The sequence below is a fragment of the Homo sapiens genome, chromosome 13, assembly GCF_000001405.40.
Source record: "Homo sapiens chromosome 13, GRCh38.p14 Primary Assembly".
Classification (NCBI taxonomy): Eukaryota; Metazoa; Chordata; class Mammalia; order Primates; family Hominidae; genus Homo; species Homo sapiens.
In genome coordinates this window covers 23,605,638-23,630,284 of record NC_000013.11, presented here as the reverse complement: position 1 = coordinate 23,630,284, position 24,647 = coordinate 23,605,638, and the positions used below count along the sequence as shown (strand labels likewise).

The window sequence follows — 24,647 nt, the reverse complement described above, 5'->3', positions numbered from 1 at the left end:
GTTGTTCAGGCTGGAGTGCAGTGGCACAATCCCAGCTCACTGCTGCCTCAACCTCCTGGGCTCAAGCAATCTTCCCACCCCAGCCTCCCAAGTAGCTAGAATCAAAGGCACACACCACCATCCCTAGCTAATTTTTTATTTTTTGTGAATATGGTGTCTCACTATGTTGCCCAGGCTGGTCTTGAACTCCTGGGCTCAAGTGATCCTCCCACCTCAGCCTCCCAAAGTAGTAAGATTACAGGCGTGAGCCACAGCACCTGGCCCCCATCTGAGCTGCTCAGGCACAAAACTCCATGGAACCCACTTTCCGGTACCCTTCAGTGCTCACCCACCAGGGGAGGTGAAGCCCCAGAAGACAAACATCAGAGCCAGATGCACCATGAGATCCTCCCCGTCCAGGACAACTCCAAAGCAGCAGACCCTCCAAAGAACACATCTGGGTCAGGGTATGGCCGAGGACAGGCAGGGTCATGGTTTGAAAGAAGGCAGGCCAGCAGGTAGACAGTCATTACTGAGCTTGCCCCGGGGCAGGTATCATGTTGCTGGACTACTAGTTCATTTAGTTCTATCCAAAATCTGCAGACTTGGGCATTTTCCAGAGTAAACAGAGGTTCAAAGAGGGGAGACTATTTGCCCAAGGTTACACCATCAGTACAAAGCGCAGCCAAGATGTGAATCCAACACTTCTGGCAATACAACCACAGCAGGCAGGTGGGTCTGTTCCTTAGCAGGCAGGTACCACTCCATTTCACAAGGGAAGACCTAGCCCTTGGGGAGGGGAGTGCTGGCTCAGGTCACCAGCCACAGATAGGCGTGGTACTGGGGTGGTCCCTGGGGCAGCTGACAGAAATGGGAAATCCAGAGCAAAGAGACCCATTAGGTTAGGACAGACAGCCCCGCAGACCCAGAGAGCTGCTGTAGAGCATGCAGCATACAGGGTCTCCTTCTGCAGAAGGCGTGGTGTGCCACCAGACTCCGAGCCACCTGGGACCCCCAGGGAGGGCTACTCCTGGTTCCAGAGAGTTCTTGCCTCTCCCACTACCAGGCATGTCCTTGAAACAAACCCCACTCCTTAAGTTAGCTTGAGAGGTGTCACTTTCTTCTAGCTGAGAATCTAAGCAGCACAGGAACTCCTCAAGAGGGAGAAAAACATCACTGAAGCAGTAGCTCTTTGTGGATGAGCTAAAAAAAAAAAAAAGCCCAAAGTGGAAGAAATGAAAACATAAGGCGCCTTACAAAATTTTCCCAAAAGACTCCAAAATCTCTTTTGAGGAGATTAGCTGTGTTCTGGAATTACTGCCAAGAACTGTGCCAAAGGCAGCAAACTTTCTTTTACAGAGATAAGGACTCATGCTCACTGAAGACTACCAGCCTGTCTTGCTTTGTTATTTGAAAGGCTATCAGCTGTGCACACTGCAAGTTTTACTTTGACAAATAGCTTATTCTTCCTTGCTTTCTAAAAAGTTTCATATATGAAGAAACATATACACACACATATATATGTATATATATATATACTGGTTAATTTTCTTTTTAAAATACTAAGGACTTCACCCAACACTAAATTAGTAAGGACGTCACAAGACACTAAAAGTTACATGTGAGATCTACCTTCAAAGGCAAATTTGTGATATCTGAGCTTAGTCAGAACCCAGAAGGCAGAAAATCCCAAAGCCTCAGAGTTTTGACTTGATTGTATTAAATATAAATCCAATAAATTAATGGGAAAAAACCCCTAAGACTTTCTGACTCTAAAGTGGTAATACTGACTTCACGGAATCTCTGTGCAGCAGTCTGGGCTGCAGTGCATGATTTTAACTCACCTTCCTGACAGAATGGTGGCTGGGCTGACCTACAGGCAGGCCCAGGTCACTGCATGTTAAACTGGCAAGAGGGCTTGTCCTTTGATGGGTTGTGTCGTGGCATAAAGACACTCTTCCAGTGTCCCTGACATGTTAGATTTTTAGCGTTTTCTTTAAGTGATTAATATTAAAGCAAACAACACAAGAAAGAGTCAATGTGTAGGAAAGATGAGATAGCCTAGTTTTCCTTAGGGAGCTTAGGGAGACAGTACGTTGTGGTAGAAAGAATTGGACTGGAATTTGAATATTGTCTCTGGGACTTAGCAGCCAACAACAGAACAGGATTCACCTCTCTGGACTAGTGTTCTCATTGACAAATTTGGACTGATGATAGGATTATTGAGAAAAGTAAAACAAAATAAGTAAAGCATATGCATTGTGACTGATAACAGGCATTCAATATTGCATTTGTTATTTGCAATGAATTATTTGGTGAATGTTTACCTATTATAAAAATGAGGATCGATATATGTTTTCTATAAAAGAAAATCTTACAACTTCTTTTGCTTTTCTGTCACTTCAAATGAAGAATAGAAAATAATGCATTTTGGTAAAGGACACACTAATATGGACTGCAAAATTCCATGACACTCTTGGAAAGAGAAGTACTATGTGACCTTATCAAATGACGCACTAACTTTCAATTAGTTCAGAGGGGACTTTTACCATAGCAAAAAGCAAGAGGACAGAGCCCATGCATTGAAAATGACATCAAAACAATGCTCCCCAGAAAGGCATGAGCGACCTGTGTGTGGGATAGAGCAGCCTCCTCCGTCCTCCCTCCTGCCCTTCGCTCTCCCCTGAGCCGTGAAGTGCGGCTCTCCTGAGCCCTGCTGTGGCACAGACAAGCGTGCTCTGCCACATAGAGGCCACTCACCGGTTCCCTTCCTGTGGGTTTCTATTGACCAGGTTTGTACTTAGGATTAAAAAGAGTGAGAGGCCACTCTTCTTCCTATTCAAAATTGATGCTGGTTGATAACTTGAAACAAATACCTTTTATATCTACACAAAATACATAGTCAAAAGGAGTAACTAATGTTAACATAAAGAGGAAAAGGCACAATTTTCTCATATACAGTTGTATCCCCAGCATGCAATGGAGTTCTCTTTTCTCATTTATTTGTTAAATGAGAGAAAAGAAGGAATGGATGAAGTGAACTAAGTTCCATTTAGTGACACACAGTGAGGGCAGGTGACTCACAGAGAGGAACTTCTCTGGGAAGGCAGAGATGCCACCATATGATCCTGTCTGGGGACTAGGAAAGGAAAATCCAGGAATTCATGGGGCCAGGGCACGAAGACCTAAGAGTGAGGATGTGAGCCGCCTGGTTATTCAAAGTGGCCTGAATTACAGACCCAGGGTGCCAGGGAAGGCTTCAGAAGGAGCTGAGCAGTGGCAAAATGTCTGCACTCCACTCTGAGATTCAAATCCCTGGGACCGGTTTGCTGACTGAGGCACAGAACAAAGGGACTTTCTGTCCTGCCAGAAGCCTGATTAAAGAGGACACACTGTACACCCCACAGGAGAGACAGATTTGGCTCCATCTGCCAGAGAAGAAACGTTTACAAATTTAAACTTTTTCAAAAGGCCAGGCGTCCCCTTGGCTCTGCCTGTGTTGCGTTCACTCACAGTGCGGTTCGTAAGGAGGAGGAGGGTCTCCACAAGGCACACACTCCATGTCTTGAAAGCCGACAAGTTTCGTCTTCCTATAAAATCTAGAAGAGAAAGGAAAATACTCCTTGTTAACTCTTTCATCTAAGCTTACAGTTGTGGTCATAAATTACCAGCAGTCTCCATTACCAGTTCTACGGTTAAAAGTACACAGAGGCTTAAATAATAGTATCTTAGGTAGACACATTTTTGAAGAGGAAGCAGTGGACACTTAAGAAATATCAATTCCCCTAAACGTAACTTTGCAGATGCTTCTCAGTGCACTTCTTCTATATTGGGGTGGGGGTGCAGGTGGGGGAATATAAAGTCAGTGGTCTTCGGCATTTTTATTGAAACTTAAACGACAAAATACCTTATAAATGAATAAAGAACTAGGTTTTAGCATTTGGAATTCAGACACCAAAAAACCAAGCAACCATAAAAGCAACGGAAAAATGTAGGGAAATACTCATACAATCTTGATACAGGAATGTCTTTCTAGGCATAACAAGAAACCAGGAGTCAAAGTGGAAGAGATGAACAGCAACCACACACACACACACACACACACACACACACACACAGATTTTAAAGAAATCTGAAGGGCAAAAATAAATAAATATAGCATCATCAATAATAGGTAACGGGCAAACAAAGATTGAAAAATTGTACTAATTATGGTACTGTCTATACCTTCAGTCTATAAGGTAAAACTTAAAAATCTTGATCGTGGAAATGAACACTATAATTGAAAAATAAGCAAACAACTTTCATTCCCAAAAGAAGAATGTTTCATAATTTAAAAATTTCATAATTAAACTGAAAAGCACGACACAATTAAATTTTTTTAAAAAATTTAAGATGAAAATGTTTAACTTCATTATTAATCAAGTACATTCAAATTAAAATGAAAATATATCATTTTTACTTAGAAAATTAGTCAAGTGCTGGTGTGAGTGTAGGCCAATAGGTATATGTATATATTGCCTGTGGGAACATAAACTGCCACTTTTAGGAGGGCAATTTAGCAATCTGTCACTAGAACTCAATAAAATAGTTTACACTTCTTATCTAGTAATTTCATATTTAGAAACTCATCCTAAAGAAATAATCAACTGGGTAAAGATGTATGTGTAAGAATACAGGCCGGGCGCGGGGGCTCACGCCTGTAATCCCAGCACTTTGGGAGGCCGAGGCAGGTGGATCACGAGGTCAGGAGATCGAGACCATCCTGGCTAACATGGTGAAACCCCATCTCTACTAAAAATACAAAAAAATAGCTGGGCGTGGTGGCGGGCGCCTGTAGTCCCAGCTACTAGGGAGGCTGAGGCAGGAGAATGGCGTGAACCCGGGAGGTGGAGCTTGTAGTGAGCTGAGATAGCGCCACTGCACTCCAGCCTGGGCAAAAGAGCAAGACTCTGTCTCAAAAAAAAAAAAAAAAAAAAGAATACAATCACAGCATTGTTTATGAAAGGAAAAAAGCTAATTAGGCACAATCCCAATGTCCACCAATAACCAATCAGGGTAGACCCAAGGCAATAGAATGCCAGGTGTCCTTTAAAAATGATGATGAAGACCTACCATACGCATTTTTAAAAAGTCATGAAATATCATTAAGTGAAAACAAAGGAATGCATATAATTCCATTTTGTGCAGGCACACACTTTTATTATCAATTTTCTCAGATTCTTTACCAATACATATAAAAATAGTCGTGTGTGGCCAGGCGCAGTGACTCACGCCTGTAATCCCAGCACTTTGGGAGGCTGAGGCAGGTGGATCACCTGAGGTCGGGAGTTCAAGACCAGCCTGGCCAAAATGGTGAAACCCCGTCTCTATGAAAAATACAAAAAATTAGCTGGGCATGGTGGTGGGCGCCTATAATCCCAGCTATTCAGGAGGCTGAGGCAGGAGAATCACATGAACCTGGGAGGCAGAGGTTGCAGTGAGCCAAGATCGCGCCATTGCACTCCAGCCTGGGCAACAAGAGTGAAACTCCACCTCAAAAAAAAAAAAAAGTTATGTGTATATATTTGCAATGAAAAAATTTTGGGAGTATATTATATACTGTATATGAACAGCGACTATTTCTAGATTGTGGGAATTCAAGTGATTTTCTTTTTTTCATATATATAACATAAATTTTCTATGACAAAAATAGTAATATAGAGAACAAGTCTACAAAGGACAGGTAGATGCAATTATCTTGTGAAACTGCATAATGTAGTAGCAAATCTGTATAATTTATGGTAGAAGCAAAATTTGCATTTGAAACTAGGTAAGTTATCTCAAATGCCCAGATACATTCAGAAATTGCTCAACATTCTATTTTCACTTGATTATGACAATCTTTTCAAAGGATATATAATACAGTGACTTCCCATTAGATATTAATAAAATTACTCCTTTTGGAATTTATGAAGTAAAAATTAAAAAAAAAAACAAAGTTCGAGGACTCATACTTCCTGATTTCAAAACTTAATACAATGCAACAATAATCAAAATATGTAGTACTGGCATAAAGACAGACAACTAGACCAGTGGAATAGACAAGAGATCCCAGAAGTAAACCGTCATGTATATGGTCAATGACTTTCAACAAGGTGCCAAGACCACTCAGTGAGGAAAGAACAGTCTCTTTAAGGAATGTTGGAGAAACTGGACATCCACATGCAACAGATTAAAGACCTAAAACTATAAAACTCCTAGAAGAAAATATAGAGGAAAAGCTTCATGACATTAGTTATGGCAATGATTTCTTAAATATGACACCAAAACCATAGGAAACAAGAGAAAAAATTGACAAATGGGACTATATTAAACTTAAAATCAGAGGACATAAACATTCCTATGGAATGGAAGAAAATATCTGCAAATCATATGTCTGATAAAGGGTTAATATTTATAATATATAAAGAATTCCTATAAACTCATCAATTAAAAAATCAACCTAATTTAAAAATGGGCAAGGGACTTGAATAGACATTTCTCCAGAGAAATGTCTTTGGAGAAATATCTCACATGGCTGACAGGTATATAAAAACATGTTCAACATCACTAATCATCCCTGAACTGAAAAGTCAAAACCACATGAGATATCACCTCACACCCATAAGGATGGCTACTGTCAAAACAATAACAACAAACAAACAGATAATAACAAGTGTTGGCAAGGATGTGAAGAAACTGGAACCCTTGTATACTGCTGACGGGACAATAAAATGGTGCAGCCGCTATGGAAAACAGCACGTAGGTTCCTCAAAATATTAAAAACAGAACTACCATATAATCCAGCAATTCCACTACTGTGTCTATATCTAAAAGAACTCAAATCAGGGTCTTGAAGAGATACTTGCATGCTTGTATTCACTGCAGCACTATTCACAGTAGCCAAAAGGCAGAAGAAACCCAAATGTCCACTGATGAATATGGATAAACAAAGTATTTCACAGAATGAAATATTATTAGTCTTAACAAGTAGGAGGGGTTCCTGTCACATGCTACAACATGTATAAACCTTGAGGACATGGTGCTAAGTGACACAAGCCTGTCATAAAAAGACAGATACTGAATGACTCCAATTACATGAGGTACTTAAGAGTAGTCAAATTCACAGAAACAGAAAGAAAGGTGGTTTCCACGGGCTGGGGGAAGAAGCAAAGGGGAGTTGTTTAACGGGTATAGAGTTTCAGCTTGAGAAGATGAAAAAGTTCTGGAGATCTGTTTCACAACAATGTGAATATACTTAACTCTACTGAACTGCGCACCTAAAAATGGTGAAGATGGTAAATTTTATGTTATGTGTTTTTTACCACAATAAAAAAATGCATATACAATTTTTTTAAAAAATCACAAGACAATATAAAGGAGCTTTCTTCTTTAAGAAGTCTTGCTAAACATTGTAACACATCCAGACTAATACTTTTTATCTTTTCACCCCGAAAACTTGCCCAATAGAAGTTCATTGAATTAAATATCAAGAAAGCACAAAATAGTGTTTTATACATAAAAACTCACTTCATGTAAAAAGCAAAAAAAGTTAAAAAATGTAATATCCAACATTCTCAAGAATAAATATTGGGGATACAGAAATCCATCTTTTAACACTTAAAAAGTTAGGAAAATGGGAGGTATTGATGATCAAGCATAGACACTACTTAACATTTTAAAAATAAAGAATTCTAATTGTGACAAAACAGTTTAGAGGTCTGAGCCTTCCCTGACAATCGAAGAGAATATATTTGCCAAAATTTTTTTTAAAAGTTTGAGGACCATGAGACAAATGAGGCTAGAAGGTTGTCATGTTTTGAATGACCATTTTTATTTTTTAATTAATTAATTAAATAATGTTTATTTATTTCTTGAGATGGAGTCTCGCTCTGTTGCCCAGGCTGGAGTGCAGTGGCATGATCTCAGCTCACTGCAACCTCTGCCTCCCAGGTTCCAGCGATTCTCCTCCCTCAGCCTCCCAAGTAGCTGGGATTACAGGCACCCGTTTACCATGCCCAGCTAATTTTGTTTTTTGCATTTTTAGTAGAGACGGGGTTTCACTATGTTGGCCAGACAGGTCTCGAACTCCCGACCGTGTGATCTACCATCCTCGGCCTCCCAAAGTGCTGGGATTACAGGTGTGACCACCACGCCAGGCCTGAATGACCATTAAATACTAACTAGAAATAATAAGAAATGCTATTTAGAAAGGAGGGTGAGTGGGGCTCCCGTGTGACTACTACGCATGAAGAGGTGATGCTCAGACCTAGCTCTGAGAGCAGCTATCAACAGTATCTGGTCTGCTTGCTTCTTCATTCTTTTTTGTTTGTTTTGAGACAGTCTCGCTCTGTCACCCAGGCTGGAGTGCAGTGGTGCGATCTTGGCTCTGCCTCAGCCTCTGCCTCCTGGGCTCAAGCCATCCTCCCATCTTAGCCTCCCAAGTAGCTGGGACTACAGGTGTGTATCACCATGCCCAGCTAATTTTTGTATTTTTTTTTTTTTTAGAGATAGGGTTTCGCCATGTTGCCCAGGCTGATGTCACACTCTTGAGCTCAAGCGATCCACCTGCCTCAGCCTCCCAATGAAGAGGAATTTTTAACTGAACTGAATCCAAATAGCACTGGTTAGCCTAATGAACACAGTGTTTGAAAACTGCTATTTTAAAAAAATCTGGCTGTAGACTGCTAATTCTTCAATCAGTGAGTGCATTTCTGCAAGGAGATGGCATGCCATAGAACAGCTCCGGTTTTACAATGACCTCACTTAACACAAGGTTGAGGGCAGTTACTATGCCCTGTGAGTCACAGTCAAGTCAGGATGGGATTTTCTGAAGTGTCTGTGAGACACTGGATGACAGCGTTGCTCTGTCCTGGGCTCTTGCTAGCACCTTGGTGGTTAGTCAGCCTGCTGTTTGTGTTCCTCAGCAATCCACAGCAATAGCCCCTTATCTGAAGGTGAACAAATGCTAATGACAAGATTAATCATTAGAGTAAGAGTCTAGGTCTCCTAAACAGTGTCATGGTTACTAGGGAACACCCTGAGCACAGACCAGAGAGCTGAGGCAAAGGGATGCGAAAACCCAGGCAACTCAGGCAGCTTCCAGGAGCAAGGGGTCTGCTGAGGGTAGGGTGAGGGTGAAGTGGGCACACAGCACACACGGACGGAGGCAGTCCCTGTGATTCCCATCAATCAATCACGGAAGCCCCAGCGGTGACCTCCCAGTGATATCAGACATGCACCTAAGCATGGGGCAGAGGAGCTGCAAGGTGAATTCCAGTCCTTTCATTTACAAGCTGGGTGATTCTGGGAAGTCATTTATCCACTCTGAGAACCAGTTTCCCTCTTTGTTAAGAGGGGGTGGTAGGAATCCCTACTTTACAGAGTGGTTCGGATGATAGTAAGTGCTCAATGTTAGTTGTCATTGTCACCAGAAGAAGCAAAGAGCTGGCAGGGGCCAGCCTACTCTTCAGGGCGGGTTCCAGTTCCCCTGAGCCAGGAAGGACTCAGGAACCGGCTGCCAGCAGAGGAGCTTGGAGGCCTGTTGGCCACACTCTGAAAAAGTCATGCCAAGTTTTCACTGGCCCCCAAAATCATCAATTGGCAATAATGTCCAATATTCCATTAGGACTTCCTATGGCTTAGGCACTCTGCTAGGCACTTTACATGCCTTCTATTTCTAATCCTTCTAACAATTCTGCAGGGTGGATTCTTACAGCATGGTCATTTTACAGGTGAGAAGAGTGCATTTCAGAGAAGTTAAATGACTTGTCTAAAGTCACAGAGCAGATGTGGGAATAAGGGGACTGGCTCTCTCGAATGACTCAAATTGTGGGCACGGAGGACAGATGATTTCCACACCCTACCTGCTACTGAGAGGGAAGCAGCTGGTGTCCTGGGGGACCTCGGCCTATGGACAGCAGCAGGTTCTTGCTAGAGAATGAGGCCGCAGGAGGCAGAGTGGCACCAAAAAGAGCAATGCCTGCCTTTTGCCTGACTTCTGCATTGCTTTTTGGGGAGCAATATGCATTTTGCTCACGTCTTTCTGCCTCAGTTTTTCTGTTTATAAAATGGGTTCCAACTATTTGGTTTCTTCACAGAAGTACAGTTAAACTGGAAGAGTACTTTGAAAACACTTTGAAAAGACCTGGGTAAAAGTCACTATGTAATTACGCCTGCCTCATATACTAATGCTGACTTAGAAAAAAATGGGATTTTAAAGTAATCATATAAATAAATTGTGAAACATCACTCAACTGTCTATTCACTTATAACTTTCCTATAGCTAAGTATTTACCTAAAGAATAAACAAACACTGTAGAAACTAGAGCAGTGGGCTCAAATGACAAGGACCACGGGGAAGCAGGAGGAACCAGGCACGGTGGAGTCCCGGGCAGACCTGCTCCCCTACTCCGGCAGCACAGCCCTGCATGGGCTCTATAAAATCCCAGTCCTAGGTCAGGCCTTTCCCCACCCTCCCTGGGCACTGCCTATCTCAGCCTGTACATCCCCTGTAGACCTCCTCATTTCTCTACCTCCAGATGTAGAGAGTAGACACGCACAGACAGGCTTTTATCAGGGAACTGGAGAACACGAACAACAGAGGTGTGTGAGATGTTCCGTTCATGTCCTCAATTAGATTTGCACAAGATCAAAACTCTGAGTAATGCTATCCATAGATATCATCACAGGTCTGAGATTATAGACCGTTCCTTTTTTTTTTAAGGCACAGATTTATTGACTTATACTTTATATACCACACAATTCACCCATTTAAAGTGTACAATTGGATGGTTTTCCATACATTCACAGAGTTGTACAACCATCACCACAATCAATTTTAGGACATTTTCATCATCCCCCAAAGAAGCCTCATAACCTTATCAGTCACCTCCCATTCCCAACTCTCCCCAACCCCAGCCCTTAGGCAACACTAATTTCCTTTCTGTCCCTGTAGATTTGCCCATTCTGGACATTTCAATAGAATCATGTAATATGCCATCATTGGTGACTGGCTTATTTCACTTGGCATAATGTTTTCTAGGCTCATCCATCTCATAGCATGTCAGCATTTCCTTCCTTTTTACTGATGAATAATATTTCATTGTTTGAATATATCCCATTTGGTTTTTCCATTTATCAGTTGATAGACACTTGGGTTTGTCTTAGTCGGTTTTGTGCTGCTGTAATAGAATATCACAGACTGGGTAATTTATAAATAACAGAAATTTATTTCTCATAGTTCTGAAGGCTGGGAAGTCCAAGATCAAGATGCCAGTATCTGGCGTCTGGTGAGGGCCTTTCTGCTGCACTCTTCAGAGGGAAGAAATGCTGTGTCCTTACGTGGCAGAAGGTGGAAGGCAAATAAAAAAGGAACAAATTCCCTCTGTCAAGCCCCTTTATCAGGGCATATTTGTGAGGGGAGGGCCCATCATGACCTAATTACCTCGTAAAGGCCCCACCTCTTAATATAATCGCACTGGCAACAACTGAATTTTGGAGGGGACACATTCAAACCAGAGCTTGGTTGTTTCAGTTTTTTGGCTATTACGTAAACTGCTGCTACGAACACTAGTGTACAAGTTTTTGTGTGGACGTGTTTTCAGTTCTCTTGGTTATATACCTAAGAGTCAAACTGTCAGGTCACGTGGTAACTCTATGTCTAACTTTCTGAAGGAACTCTAAACTGTTTTCCAACCTGGCTGTACCCTTTGCCGTTCCCACCAACAGTGTATGAGGGTTTCAATCTCTCCACGTCATCACCAACATTCCAATCTCTCCATGTCATCACCGTTACCGTCTGGTTTTTGTTGGCTATAGCTATCTTAGTGGGGTTGAAGAATGTGGGTTTGATTTGCATTTCCCTGATTGTTAATGATGTTGGGCAACTTTTCATGTGCTTATTGGACATTTGTATATTTCTTTGGAGAAATGTCTATTCAAATCCTTCATTGTATTTTAATTGAATTATTTGTCTTTTTATTATTGAGTTGTAAGAATATGTGAGGACATATTCTACTTAAGATAGTTCCTTACCAGACATATGATTTGCCAGTATTTTCTCCTATTTTGTGGGTTGTGTGGTTGTGTTTTGTACTTCAAAGGATTTCCTTTGAAGTACAAAGTTTAAAATTTTGATAAAGTCCAACAGAGCTATTTTTTCTTTTGCTGCTTGTATTTTGGTGTTAGCCCACTACATCTTACAGCTCCCTAGGTGCTGGGTCTCTGTATATGACCACGTGGGACCCACTAGTCTATTTTCTACTCTGTTTCCACCCTTCAGGCCCAGAGCTTTATCTCCTCTCTGGCCTCAACAAGACCCCACCCCCGGGACATCTGGTCAAAACCACTCTGATCTTGTGGTCGATCCAGTTAGAGTCTTTTGTCTGTAGTGCCTCGGAGCATGAATTCTGATGTTAGACTCCCATGATGTGACTCCCAGACTCACCACACACAGGTTAGGTGATCTTGCCTGAATAAACTTAATCCTTAATAAGTCTCAGTTTCTTCCTTCTTAAAACATTGTGAAAAGTATAGAAAATAATTCATGAGAAGTACTTGGCCAGGTGCCTGGTACATTGCAAGTAATAAATGTTTGCTGCCCCTGCAATGCAGTTTCTGGTTGTTTCTTACTTTTGCAATACAGACTGGTTTCTGATGCTCCAGGGTTTCTGCTTCCTCTCTCTTCTGTCTTTGGTCAGTAACTCTTGGCTCCACTCTATCTCCATTAAGCTCTAAGGATATTCTGCTTCATCCCATTCTCTGCATACTTGGTGTAGCAATGGCTTCTCCCTGCCTTACAGATCACCCCCCTTGTCACCCTGGCTCTTCATCCAGACTCTCTCCTCCAGCTGTCTGTATTAATCCATCCCACAGTTACTTAGAAGCAGTCAGGAATTTAACTTCCTCCTCCCTGGTGCTCCCCCTGGCCCAGGTGTGGTCCCTCTCCTTTCCCTGGACCTGGCTGCCTTATTGACAAGTCTATTTAAGGCTTCTGCGTTCGCACCTGCCCACCCCTTCCTCTGCTCTCTGTAACTTGGTGTACTGCACGCCTCCCTCTCTCTGCCACTCCCTTGGCCTCCTGGCAGTTTTTTACCCACACCAGGTAGATGCCCACCTGAGAACCTCTTGCTGGAGGTTCCTTCTGTCTGCGGTGCTCTTCCCCACCTCTCTGCTTGGCTCCGTGCCTCGTCTCCTTCAAGCCTTTGCTCAGATCTCACCTTTGCAATAAAGCCTATCCTGACAACCCAATTTACGCTGTCACTGTCCTGCCCCTCACTGTGGCCATGCCCAATCGCCCTTGTCTGCCTTAGGGTTTCTTCCATAGCAGTTATCATCTTCTATCTTTCTGCATAATTTGCTTCTTTATTATTTACTATTTAAATATTTTTTAAAACCCTATAAGAAGCCGGGCATGGTGGCTCACACCTGTAATCCCAGCACTTTGGGAGGCTGAGGCAGGCAGATCACCTGAGGTCAGGAGTTTGAGACCAACCAACATGGAGAAACACCATCTCTACTAAAAATACAAAAAATTAGCCGGGCGTGGTGGCGCATGCCTGTAATCCCAGTTACTCGGGAGGCTGAGGCAGAAGAATCACTTGAACCTGGGAGGCACAGGTTGCACTGAGCTGAGATTGCGCCATTGCACTCCAGCCTGGGTGACAAGAGCGAAATTCCATCTCAAAACAGAACAAAACAAAACAAACAAACAAACAAACAAAACCTATAAGAAATAAGCTCCCCATGGGCAGGGATCTTTGCCACTTTATTTTCTGACATAGCCCAAGTATGTAAAGCAATGCCTAAGGTGGTTGGGCACGTCTCTGCTGAATGGCTGAATGGTGTAACCTGCCCTCCTCTGATGCTAATGAGGGTGAACATTGTCAGAGGATTGCCAGTCACATGGGTCACCTCTTTTGTGGGTTGCTTGTTCATTTTTGTGTCCATTTGTCCAAGTTTTCTTTTTTACTGATTTGTAGGAACTCCTTAGATTTTCATAACAGAAATCCTTTGTTAGCATGCCTATTCATTTTCTTTATAGCCAGTGTCTGCTGCATGCATGGCACACGGTACCACAGATAATCCAGTGGTTAATACTGAAAGAAGTCACAAATACTCCACCAGCATCTTCAGGTTAATACCAGCATGCATTCCAGTTTAGAATGGAACAAGGGAATTGCCTTTTTAAAAGTTACTTAATTAAATAATTACAAGTGAAAGAAACTGGCCAACTCACCCTGGCAAGCAGTCCCCGCAGATGGCATCACTGGTGGCTGAACAATTTGCCTTCTGAAAGCGGTTCACCACTGCGCAGTCCAGACAGGGCTTGCATTTCTGGAAGCCCCAGTCCTCCTTGAACCTGTGCAGCCGGCACGTCACACACTGTGCATCCTCCCCATAGCCGAAGCCACATTCCTGTGGGGATTAACGGGTAACAGAAAGCTATTCAGACTTTGCAAGCGTGAAAAGGAAAGACCGCTAGGATGAAACGAAGACCTGGTCTAATAATTACCAAGTGTCGGCCTTCCTAGACACAAAGGCAGCTCTTTCAGCAAGTTCAAATGTGTCTTCCACTGCTAATGATCTCTCTTACTATGGTAAGTCCACTTAGTCATCCACTTTATTCAAGAAGCCGTGAGCATGAGAATAATCAAGGGTCTCTCAGGCTCCCACTGCTGCGTTACTATCAGTGGATGGCAGAATTATGGCACTTCTTCTCCTCTAATTAAGCCAGTCATGTGCATGCTCAGAAGCTAACGCCAGGGAAACATTCACACACTCACTTCTAAGGCAGAAAATCAGTACTTTGATATCAGGGGTGTTATTTTCAAAAATGAGGATAAGTGCATAAGAAATTTCATTAGCGGACAAGCCTAGAAATCAATCCAAATGGAGAGCTCCTTGAAATAGTTAGCAATTTAGTATTTCCTGAGAGTAGAAAGAGTCTTACATATTTGTTAAAAGGATGTTAACTTCCTGTTGAGACAAATTCTGTGGTACTAAAGGTCTCAAGCTTCTCTAGATTTGAACATCAGAACACACTGTTTTCCAAGAGTGGGCAAAACAAATGGCTCTCTGACCCACATACAATCATTTCCACAAGTTCAAGAACTCAGTAAACTATAGCATATCATGTAACATAATTATAATGCAACTATAAAAAGAAGAATGTAGATGTGATCTGTGTTCACGACAATTTTAAAAATAAGTTTTAATACAGAATTAGAAGTATGATTCCATTGTTTACAAAAACATTCATGTAAGTACCAACATTTATGGGTGCTTACTCTAGACCAAGAACTTTACACCATTATCTCAATAATCCATACTCCTTCCCAATCAGGGCAGCACTGCCATTTTTCCCATTTCATAGATTGGGGGATAGAGCGTCAGAGAAGTTATGTACCTTGGGCTAGGTGACAGAAGTAGTGTTAGAACCAGGATTTCAACCTACATCGTCTAATTCCAGAGTCAGGCTTCATAACCACTACACTACAGGGCCTGCCAGGTACTATATATATATATATATATATATGTATTACTTATCCACAGGAAGCGGCTGAAGGACTACACACTGTTGGTAACACCTGTTGTCGGTCTTTGTGATGGTTTCTATAGAACACTCATCATTAACAAAAAACAGACAGTGGCTTAAGAGCAAGAAGGGCACCCATGCAGGCAGCAGGCTGGGCATGCCCACAAATGCAGACTGGATGCTGCAGAGGAAGAAAGGCTTGCAAGAAACCTCAGTTTCCTCATTTGTAAACCCTGGATGCTAAAATGCAAGTCCCACCTAGTTCAACATTCCCATTTTTTCTGTAAAATTTACATATTTTAATTTCTTCATCCATATTTGTATACGAAATCAACTAAGCAGTACTTATTGGCCAAAAATTAAATGAAAACCAACTTGAAGGATAGTGCTGCCTGTACTTAATAAACTACTCAACAAAGGATTCGGAGGAATCACTTCCATCTAGATTTTTACTAATTAACTCATTCACATTTTGGGTGAGTGATACTTTCTTTCCTCCTTTCAATTACTCTGCCTGTCTTTCAAACGTACATCGGGAGTGTGCACAACAAAGAAGTGAGGAGAAAAGGGTGGAAGGTCAGCCTCCTCCTCACTCCTGAGAGCTCCAGCCACACAATGTTCTATATCAGAGGCACAGAGAGGAGGGGGGAGACAAACAACACTTGATTTAAAGAACTGATTAACAAGTTAGAATTTCTTTAAAATTGTTAACAGGGATTATCTCTTTCAGAGGAGGGGAAGATTAGAATTACGGGGTGGTCTCAAGTTTTACAGTTCTGCAAAATGTAATTTTTGCAAAAAGCATCCATTACTCTTGTAATAGGAAAACAATAAAGATGCATATTCAAGGAGAATTTCTCTGGACATGTGCTGGGTCTTTGCGGGGTGATCATTGTGACTCTGGCTCTGGGCTGGGACAGCTGTGTTTTTGCTGAGCACTTTGGTTGCTGGGAGAGCTGTGTGCAGGCACAGGCTTTCTGAAGTATAGGAGAGAGCCTCCCACTCCCAAAGTCCCTTGGGATCAAGGCACAGGTGCACGTGACCTTCTGGGGGTGGTCTCCACCTTGTTCCCAAGCTAGGGTTCTCCACAGCAAAGGTTCAGGAAAGAGCAGAGTATTTCAAAATCACACTTTGATCCAGGCAGCTTGAGGTTGTAAGAGTCTCATGTACGAGTTAAAACACAACAAAGGAAAAGAAGAAGGAGGAGAAGTACAAGGGAAAGAGAAAGGAGAATGCAGAGAAAGAGGTGCATTAACTGGAAATAAATGTCCTTGGAAATTCTGTTTCAAGCCAGGTCAACATAGGAGAAAAGTATGTATTTTCCTACATTGGATCTAAAGAGACATGAGTTTGAATGCCAGCTCTGCCACTTGTTGGCCAAGTTATTTTGGGAATTCTCCGATCCTCAGTCTCTTCATCTGTGAGATGGGGATAAGAATACCTGCCCTAAAGGTTGTGTGAGGAATAAATGGGAATGCATATAAAGTGCTCAACTCTAAATCAAGCACGGAGTGCACATTTCCTAAACAAATTATACCTATAAGTGTTAGGATTTTGGATTTTCTACAATCCAATAAATAAACCAACTTTGCTGATTCAAGAATCATAAAGCTTCCCTGGAAATAAGGGGATCATCAGACCCCAATTTCCATCTAAGACATTTTTATTGACTAAGAATCTTTCAAAAAGAAATCATAATTTTCTTAATTAAAACAAGTTTAGTGGAACACAAACTCTAATTCAACCCTATCTGAGTCAACTGCTGCACCGTGCTATAAGAGCCCTGCGTTCCTGCCAGTCAGTCATTCAACTGTGGCTCCCTGTCCTGCTGACTGTCTCCAAGTCACCTCCTCCCTCCACTGAGAAACTGTACAAGTAATCCAATGGACTAAAAGTTTTGAGTGTCACAACTCTTTTGAAAATGAACATACAACTTAATGTGGTGGAGGTCTTTGTGGTTATTTTTTGGCAAAATAATAAAATTCATTGATCATATCCCAAATACTCATGGGAACTTTCATAAAGACTGTTTATTTGGGAAATTTTACTTAAAATAGATTTTCTCTAAAGTATTTACTATTTTCAAAAATGTAATATTTTTAAAGCCTAATATTAATTTGAAACTATTAAAAAATAGCCTGCAGTTCATAAAAGTCTAAGAAATTGATGAAGTGACCATTCTACACATTGAATTAACTAGAAACCATGAAATAACTAGAAATTCAAAGAAGGTGATTCCAAGAAATTAAATTACAGTATGGTGTCCATGACAGCAACTGCTTTTTGAGTTGACTGTCATATTTCTAATGCACCTTAAACACAGACTCTGTAATTACTCATAATCCAGGCTATAAAGTAAACTACATATAAATACTAAATTACCCCCAATATAAATGTCTGCTTTGATGTTTTCATTTCATTCAGTAAAGCTGGGTGGTTAAAATGCCTTGAAATCTTCCCCATTAAGTTCAATAAATAATTACCAAGAACAAAAGAAAGAGGGAAAACAGCTGAAAGGGAAGCTCGACAGCCTCCAACCCATGGTGACATTGGTTAGCACAGATTGACACTGCCTTCACAAACTTGTGTCACCACCCTGGCCGAGATCATTTCTTTTCTTTTTATCATTCGTATACTGAAAAACTATTACACACATGAGATTTAACAAAAATAATCAAACAGTACACCTTTCTTCCCATCCCTGCTCCTTAACTTCCCACTCCCCCAACACAGGTATTGGGGTGACCTGCCAAAAATATCCTCCTAGCGTGAGTGCATGTATTTAACACTGTTCTGCAACTAGATTTGTTTTCCCATGCCATACATCTTGGACAGTGCTCCATATCAGCAAATAGAGAGTATTCCCTTGCATGGATAGAGCTGGAGCTGTTCTTACTCACCACTGCACCCCAAGTCCTGGCACAGAGAGGGTATCCATTTAGGTTTGGCCCACTGCATTTGTATTGATCAGATGACCTAACCATGCAGCAAATGAAAATAGTATCAAATCTTTTTTGTTTTTTCCCCCATAGGGATAGAAAGAAGTAATTTCCCTAGGTATATTATTTCCTGCTGCAGGCAGACAAGTAAGCAAATAAATAATGAAATGAGCTATGTTTGAGTTTAGCCTTTTGACAAGGACTCTCTCCTTGACCAAACTCTAGATAGGTTCTTAGGAGCCACTCTCTGTTGGGCCCTGTCCTCAAGAGCCCAGTTTCCCAAAAACCTGGCTAAATCTGGCCATGCTCAGTATCTTCTCAGGTTCCTCAACCCTCACCATCTCCCAGGTGATGCCTGGTCACCCTGGCCTGTCTTCAGCAAGAATCCTGTGAGGTCATTTTAGCCAGAATCTCCCTCACCTCTGACGGTTCCTCTTCATGATTTTCCATCCACCAAACCCAGCCTGCTCCTTGGCTATATATCCCCACTTGCCTGTGCTGTATTTGGAGTGGAGCCCAGTTCTACACTGAGCTTTCATTTCCTCTACTGCAACAGTCCTGAGTAAAATCTGCTGTTCCACTGTCCAGTTCTGGGTTTTCTTTGACACTTTCCAAGTTGCACTAGAGTTGTCCCTCCCATCATGGCAAGAGAAGGAGTGTGTGTGTGTGTGTGTGTGTGTGCACATGTGTGTGTGTGTCTGGTGAGGGGAGGGCAAGGAGGGTATAGGCAGAGTATGTCCATCTTTAGCCTGGGCTTCAGGATAAGGGATATGTGATTATGTTTATGGAGCATGGTCCGCCATTAATATCAATGGTAGAAATGCATTTCTGTTTTAAAATACCCCGTAGTCTGTATTCTTGAAATTATGACCTGGTACCTTAAAAGCTTGAAGGAAGTACGCAGTACTTCCCCGAATCCTTGAGAAGACATTTTTTATCAATAAACTTTAAGATGGGAAAATATATGCATAGATAAAATAATAATGCAAAAAAAGGCATTATTATAGGGCCCCTACTTACTTCCTAAAATCATATGAGAAGTGAACAACCCATGGTATCCAATGCCTCCCTCCACCTCTCCTTCCCAAAAGCCTGGTATCTAACAGGCCGGTGAATAATAAATAAATGCCTGCTGATAAACAAACGGATGAACAAATATTGTTTAAGGTAGTATTTCCTAAATACTTTAAAAAAATCCTAGGGAGCAATAGCTTGTAACGGCCCCAGCAAGGGCTCCCATGTGGTGAGGCCATATAGTCCTCCTGGGCTGCAGGATGGCAGGCAGGGTGGGCTGGGCTGGGGATGTCTGGGTGGAGTGGGGTCAGCAGCTTTCCTTATCTTGGTCCCAAGGGAGCAGAGGGCTGGGTTCAGCTGGGCTACTTCCACCCAAGCTGTAGCTCTGTCACTCTGCCCAATATTTTTAAGCCACATTTGGTGGTTTTCCAGTAGCAAAATGACTCAAAGTAAACAGTCCCCAAATCCCCTTCTCTCTTTTCTCCTTCTGCAAATCCAGCCTTTAACAAAAACATAAGCGGGTCCTACCTACAGGTTGGAGGAGCAGCTCTTCAGACCACAGGGGAAAACTCACAGACCCTTGTTGTCCAGGAAACACATTCTGGGCCTTGGGTTGAAAGCACTATTTATTTGTACAGCCAGTGCGTTATTAACTGCAGTCCTTTGAACTTTCAAAGTTAAATGTTAAATTTTAAATGTGGATGGAGAAGTTATTTGAAGGGAGAATCTAGGGCATGCAAATGCAAATGACAAATTAGATTTATGTTGCTGGTGCTTAGAAATCAACTTTTAACTTCCTTTAATGAAACAACATTGAAGAGATATTTCCCCTCAACTTTCAGTTTCTAAAAGGCTGTGCTTGAGTTTTTTAGAGAAAACTGACAAGCAAGGGCTCGTTAATATCTTACAACCATCCCTAGGCTAGATCAGCTATAATTAAACATAAATAAAGTGAGCAACACTGTCATTAAATGGCAGAAATGAATCTCATTTTTTATGCTTACAAATTAATTTTTTTAAAACTTTCCTCATAGAGACAAAAACAGTTTTCAAAAATGTAAACATCTTCAGAAATATGAAGCTGGGTATGCCCCGTGCGGAGGAAAGTATGTTGTTGTTTACAAGAGTTAATTTTTTCACATTAACTAAAGTCCTCCCAATAATTGGTTAGAAAAGTTTACTTTGAAAACTGTGCCAGAGACTTGAAGCCTGTTTCAAGTGGTTCATGCAAAAACTAGTTTCCTGATTTACTGCTGCGAGGCGATCGTGTTACAAGCACACTGTTGGCATTAATACGAGTGAGGAGGATGGGCTGGGGCTGGGCGAATTCTAGGCAGTAAGAATTAAAAGTCTAATGTGGTTACTTCAGGAAAACAAAAATCATCCTCTCCCACATATCCCAAAGTTAGGTTTATTTTTGGGAGCTGAAAGGATGCCTGATGGCCGAGTAACCCTCACCATATTTATGGTTCAGAATGCCCAGCAGGTACTACTTATGGGGCGCCCAGAACAAGCTTTTGTATTTTTTGACTCTGAAATAGGAAAAATATTCTGAATTATCTTTCTCATACACTTTCAAAATCGAAATCCTGTAGTGGAGGAGAGATAGGGTAAATATGGCTCAATGGGATAAAATCCTCAGACTCCACATGGCTCAGCGACCTGTCATATATTTTCCTAAAAATGCAGGAAAGATAACTATGTATTAAGCAAAATTTCTAAAAAAGAACTGAATGGGAAGAGATGCTGCTTGGGGCTTACAGGGAAGGAAGCAAAGGAACTAGCGAGAGGCGCCTGCTCAGAACGCCCAGGGCAACAGCATCTGGCATGAGGAGCATGGAGGACCGGAAACAGATGGGTCGGGAACTGGTGGCAAGGTCGAGCGTAGCTCAGAGGAAGAAGGACAGGAAGAAGGCTGACCAGCAAGGCAGCTCCCGCAGTGCATGTGCGTTAGGTCAATATGATTCTGGTATCTCCTTGTTTTACAGGCTGGTCCCATGCCAGAATTACTGGAAGAAAGTTAATCATTCTAGAGCTGTACTGTCCAATACAATAGCCAGACCCCATGTGGCCTCATTTAATTTTCATCAATTAAAATGAAATAAAATTCTGTAAGTGTTCAGTAACCGCAGTGGCTAGTTGCTCGTATACTGGATAGAGCAGATAGAGACCACTTCCACCATCACAGACAGTTCTATCAGAGAGAATTGCACTAGGCTATTTACAAAACGAGCAAGAGATTGCTACTCCCACGTGGCTCCACCACTCCTTCCTCCCGCACTGTTACTTACTAGCAGTGACAATGGACAAATCAGTGAACCACTGTGTCCCAGTTTCCCTGTCCATAAGATGGGGATGGTTATATTCCCTATTTAAAACATATGTTGTAAGGATTCCATTATTTAATATACAAAGATCACATAGTACCTGGCTTACTGTATGAAAAATTAGCTAATATTATCTTAGTTGCATAATATGTATTACAAGAGATAGCTCATATTTATGTTAACAGATGTCGTTTACATGAACATAGCCCAAGATATCCAAGGTAAACAGTTAAAATAAGAATCTTTTAAAAGTGGCCAAGGAAGAGAAGGGTATCATCAATCTAAGTCAGCAACAGTATCGGTGGACCTGGAGCTGCTGTGCAGACTTCTTAATACCTAATAATTGAAAGGAAGTGAAAAGAGGCTGGGACCTACTGACCACACACCACTGGTGGGTCAAGGTGTAGACTGTATCCAGGAATACGATTCCAGAAGCCCCAGCCAGCCCTGACTACACATTTTTATGGTAGAAACCTAACTAACAATGGAAGAGATGCTCAGATACCTTGGGAAAAAATAGAATTGAATGCCTTCCAAAGAAAATAATAATTAGGAGAAATAAAACCGCAGAGGAAAGTTTAACTATACCTGCTTAACCAAAGCACTTCCAGGCTTTAGTTTTAAGGCACAGGTACATGTTTGTAATTGAAAGAACCTCATGACCCAGAGTGCGTTATTTTAGACAGATGGACTGGAGGACAGAAAATGTCAGAAGTTTTAAGATACCTTTAATACAGAGAAGCAAATAACATAACAATGTTACAATAAAAGTTATTTGAAAATGCTAATGGCCTACTAAAAAATGTACTTTTTACCCACAATATAAAAAAATCTTTTGTTGTATATATCAATAGTTTGGTCTAGCTTTTCTTCTTTTTCATAATTAACTTTAAAAAGTTTTATGTTTACTCTGCTTTCAAAATTTCAAATACCATAGGTAACCAAAATTCTAAGCCTCAGTCAAAAAGGGCCCTGAGACTTGTTTAATTACAAATTAAAAGGTATCCCTCCAAACTGTCTATCTATTTATCTATTTATTTATTTCTCACTTTGTCACCCAGACTTGAGTGCGGTGGTGCAATCTCGGCTCACCACAACTCTGCCTCCCAGACTCAAGCGATTCTCCTGCCTCAGCCTCCTGAGTAGCTGGGATTAAAGGCGCCCACCACCACACCTGGCTAATTTTTGTATTTTTAGTACAGATGGGGTTTCACCATGTTGGCCAGGCTAGTCTGGAACTCCTGACCTCAGGCAATCCACCTGCCTCGGCCTCCCAAAGTGCTGGGATTACAGATGTGAGCCACTGTGCCTGGCCCAAACTATACATTTAATATCTCAAGCTTTAAAAAAGATTATTTATAAACGTAGTTGTCTGAAAAAAAATTTAAAGCTTAGTCTTAGTCAAAAGACTAAATTTTCCCTTGATTTGTAAAGCTTGGAAGTGAAAATTAGCCAGTTAAATGTAATTTTAATTTCAGTGATTTATCTGACTTTAATATCCTCATAACTTATTTTTCTTTCCTCTGAAAGACATATGCTGTTGCAAAAGGAACAATGAAAAGAAGAAATCACAAATTCATGAATGGACAATTTAAAAACATCTAACATTAAAGTAACTGCTTATAAAAAGCTCAAGCTCTCTGAGTTAAGTGGGGTGGAAAATAAAAATATATTTATGTTTTCATTTGTGTATCTGAATCCTTTGCCTCTCTGTTGTATGTTAGAGCATGAGCAAAGTTAAGTTGCTGATTTTATTTATTATGAGCTAAAACTAAGAAAAAAGACTTGGCAAAATATATGATTTATAACATATACACAAATTCATTCATTTTTATATTACCAGATTTAAGTGTCACTTTTTTTTCCAAGTAATATTTGAGATTAACTGATTTGTTCACTCATGTACTGTGTCAGGAGCTGGGTGCTCTGTAGATACAGGGTAGAAGACTGAACAACATGGGCTTCCAGGTGGACAGCTCAGGGCAGGCATGTGGTAACATGGTATACAACTGTGCACCTGAGTGGGTCCTAAGAATCTCATTTTTCACTGGCATTATTACCTTTACTTTTATTGCTCCTCATTCAATTTGTCCTGGTCTTTTTTTTTAAAAAAATTATAAATATGGGAACAGAAGATGAACAAATGAAATAAGTACATAAAGGCAGAAATGTTCTGGTTGCTTCCCTTTGGCTCTTACTTCACAGGGGGACAGCTCTTTCAATCCTTATGGAAAACTGCTATCTAGAGAAAAATATTTCTTCTGGATAGCCATGGGAATATGAAATACAGCACCTGTTATCAGATACTGTTCTCAGAAGATGGAGTATTTCTGTTTAGAAACACAATTTTTTACAGCAGTTTTTAGGTTCATAACGAAATTGAGAGGAAGGTAGAGAGATAGTCCTTACATGCCCCGCCCTCCCCCGCCACACACAAAGGCTCATTCTTATCAGCACCCTGCACCAGAATGATACATTTTTTACAATCTATGAACACATCACTGTCACCTAAGTTCCACTGTTTACATTAGGGTTTATTCTTGGTGTTATATTCTGTGAGTTTGAACAACACAGAATGATATGCATCCACCATTACAGTATCACACAGAGTAGATTCCCTGCCCTAAAAATCTTCCATGCCCACATATCCATCCCTCCCTCACCCTTACCCATGGCAACCAGTGATCTTTTTACTGTTTCCATAGTTTTGCCTTTTCTAGAATGTCGTATAGTTGGAATCATACAGGAAGCAGACTTTTCCAATTGGCTTGTTTCACTTGGTAATGTGCATTTAAGGTCCTCTATGTCTTTTCACGGCTTGATAGCTTA

The 24,647-nt window shown here is 41.3% G+C and overlaps 1 protein-coding gene across 10 annotated transcripts in view, besides 2 other annotated features; it reads right to left on the bottom strand.

Moving 5' to 3' along the window:
• TNFRSF19 (TNF receptor superfamily member 19) overlaps positions 1 to 24,647 on the bottom strand; it is a 105,682-nt gene that overhangs the window by 45,809 nt on the left and 35,226 nt on the right. For all 10 annotated transcript variants that reach the window (XM_047430440.1, XM_047430442.1, NM_148957.4 and 7 more), the window contains 2 exons: positions 14,240 to 14,418; positions 3,493 to 3,578 (listed from right to left, as the gene is read on the bottom strand). In XM_047430440.1, the coding sequence (XP_047286396.1) occupies positions 3,493 to 3,578; positions 14,240 to 14,418 (265 nt within the window). The remainder of the gene's footprint in view (positions 1 to 3,492; positions 3,579 to 14,239; positions 14,419 to 24,647) is intronic.
• Positions 8,756 to 9,255: an enhancer, noted in NCBI's record as "H3K27ac hESC enhancer chr13:24195169-24195668 (GRCh37/hg19 assembly coordinates)". NCBI's record gives its function as "activates a minimal SCP1, AML or CMV promoter by ChIP-STARR-seq in primed H9 embryonic stem cells {active_cell/tissue: H9 hESC(primed)}" and the evidence as "EXISTENCE:reporter gene assay evidence [ECO:0000049][PMID:30033119]".
• Positions 11,386 to 11,887: an enhancer, noted in NCBI's record as "H3K27ac hESC enhancer chr13:24192537-24193038 (GRCh37/hg19 assembly coordinates)". NCBI's record gives its function as "activates a minimal SCP1, AML or CMV promoter by ChIP-STARR-seq in primed H9 embryonic stem cells {active_cell/tissue: H9 hESC(primed)}" and the evidence as "EXISTENCE:reporter gene assay evidence [ECO:0000049][PMID:30033119]".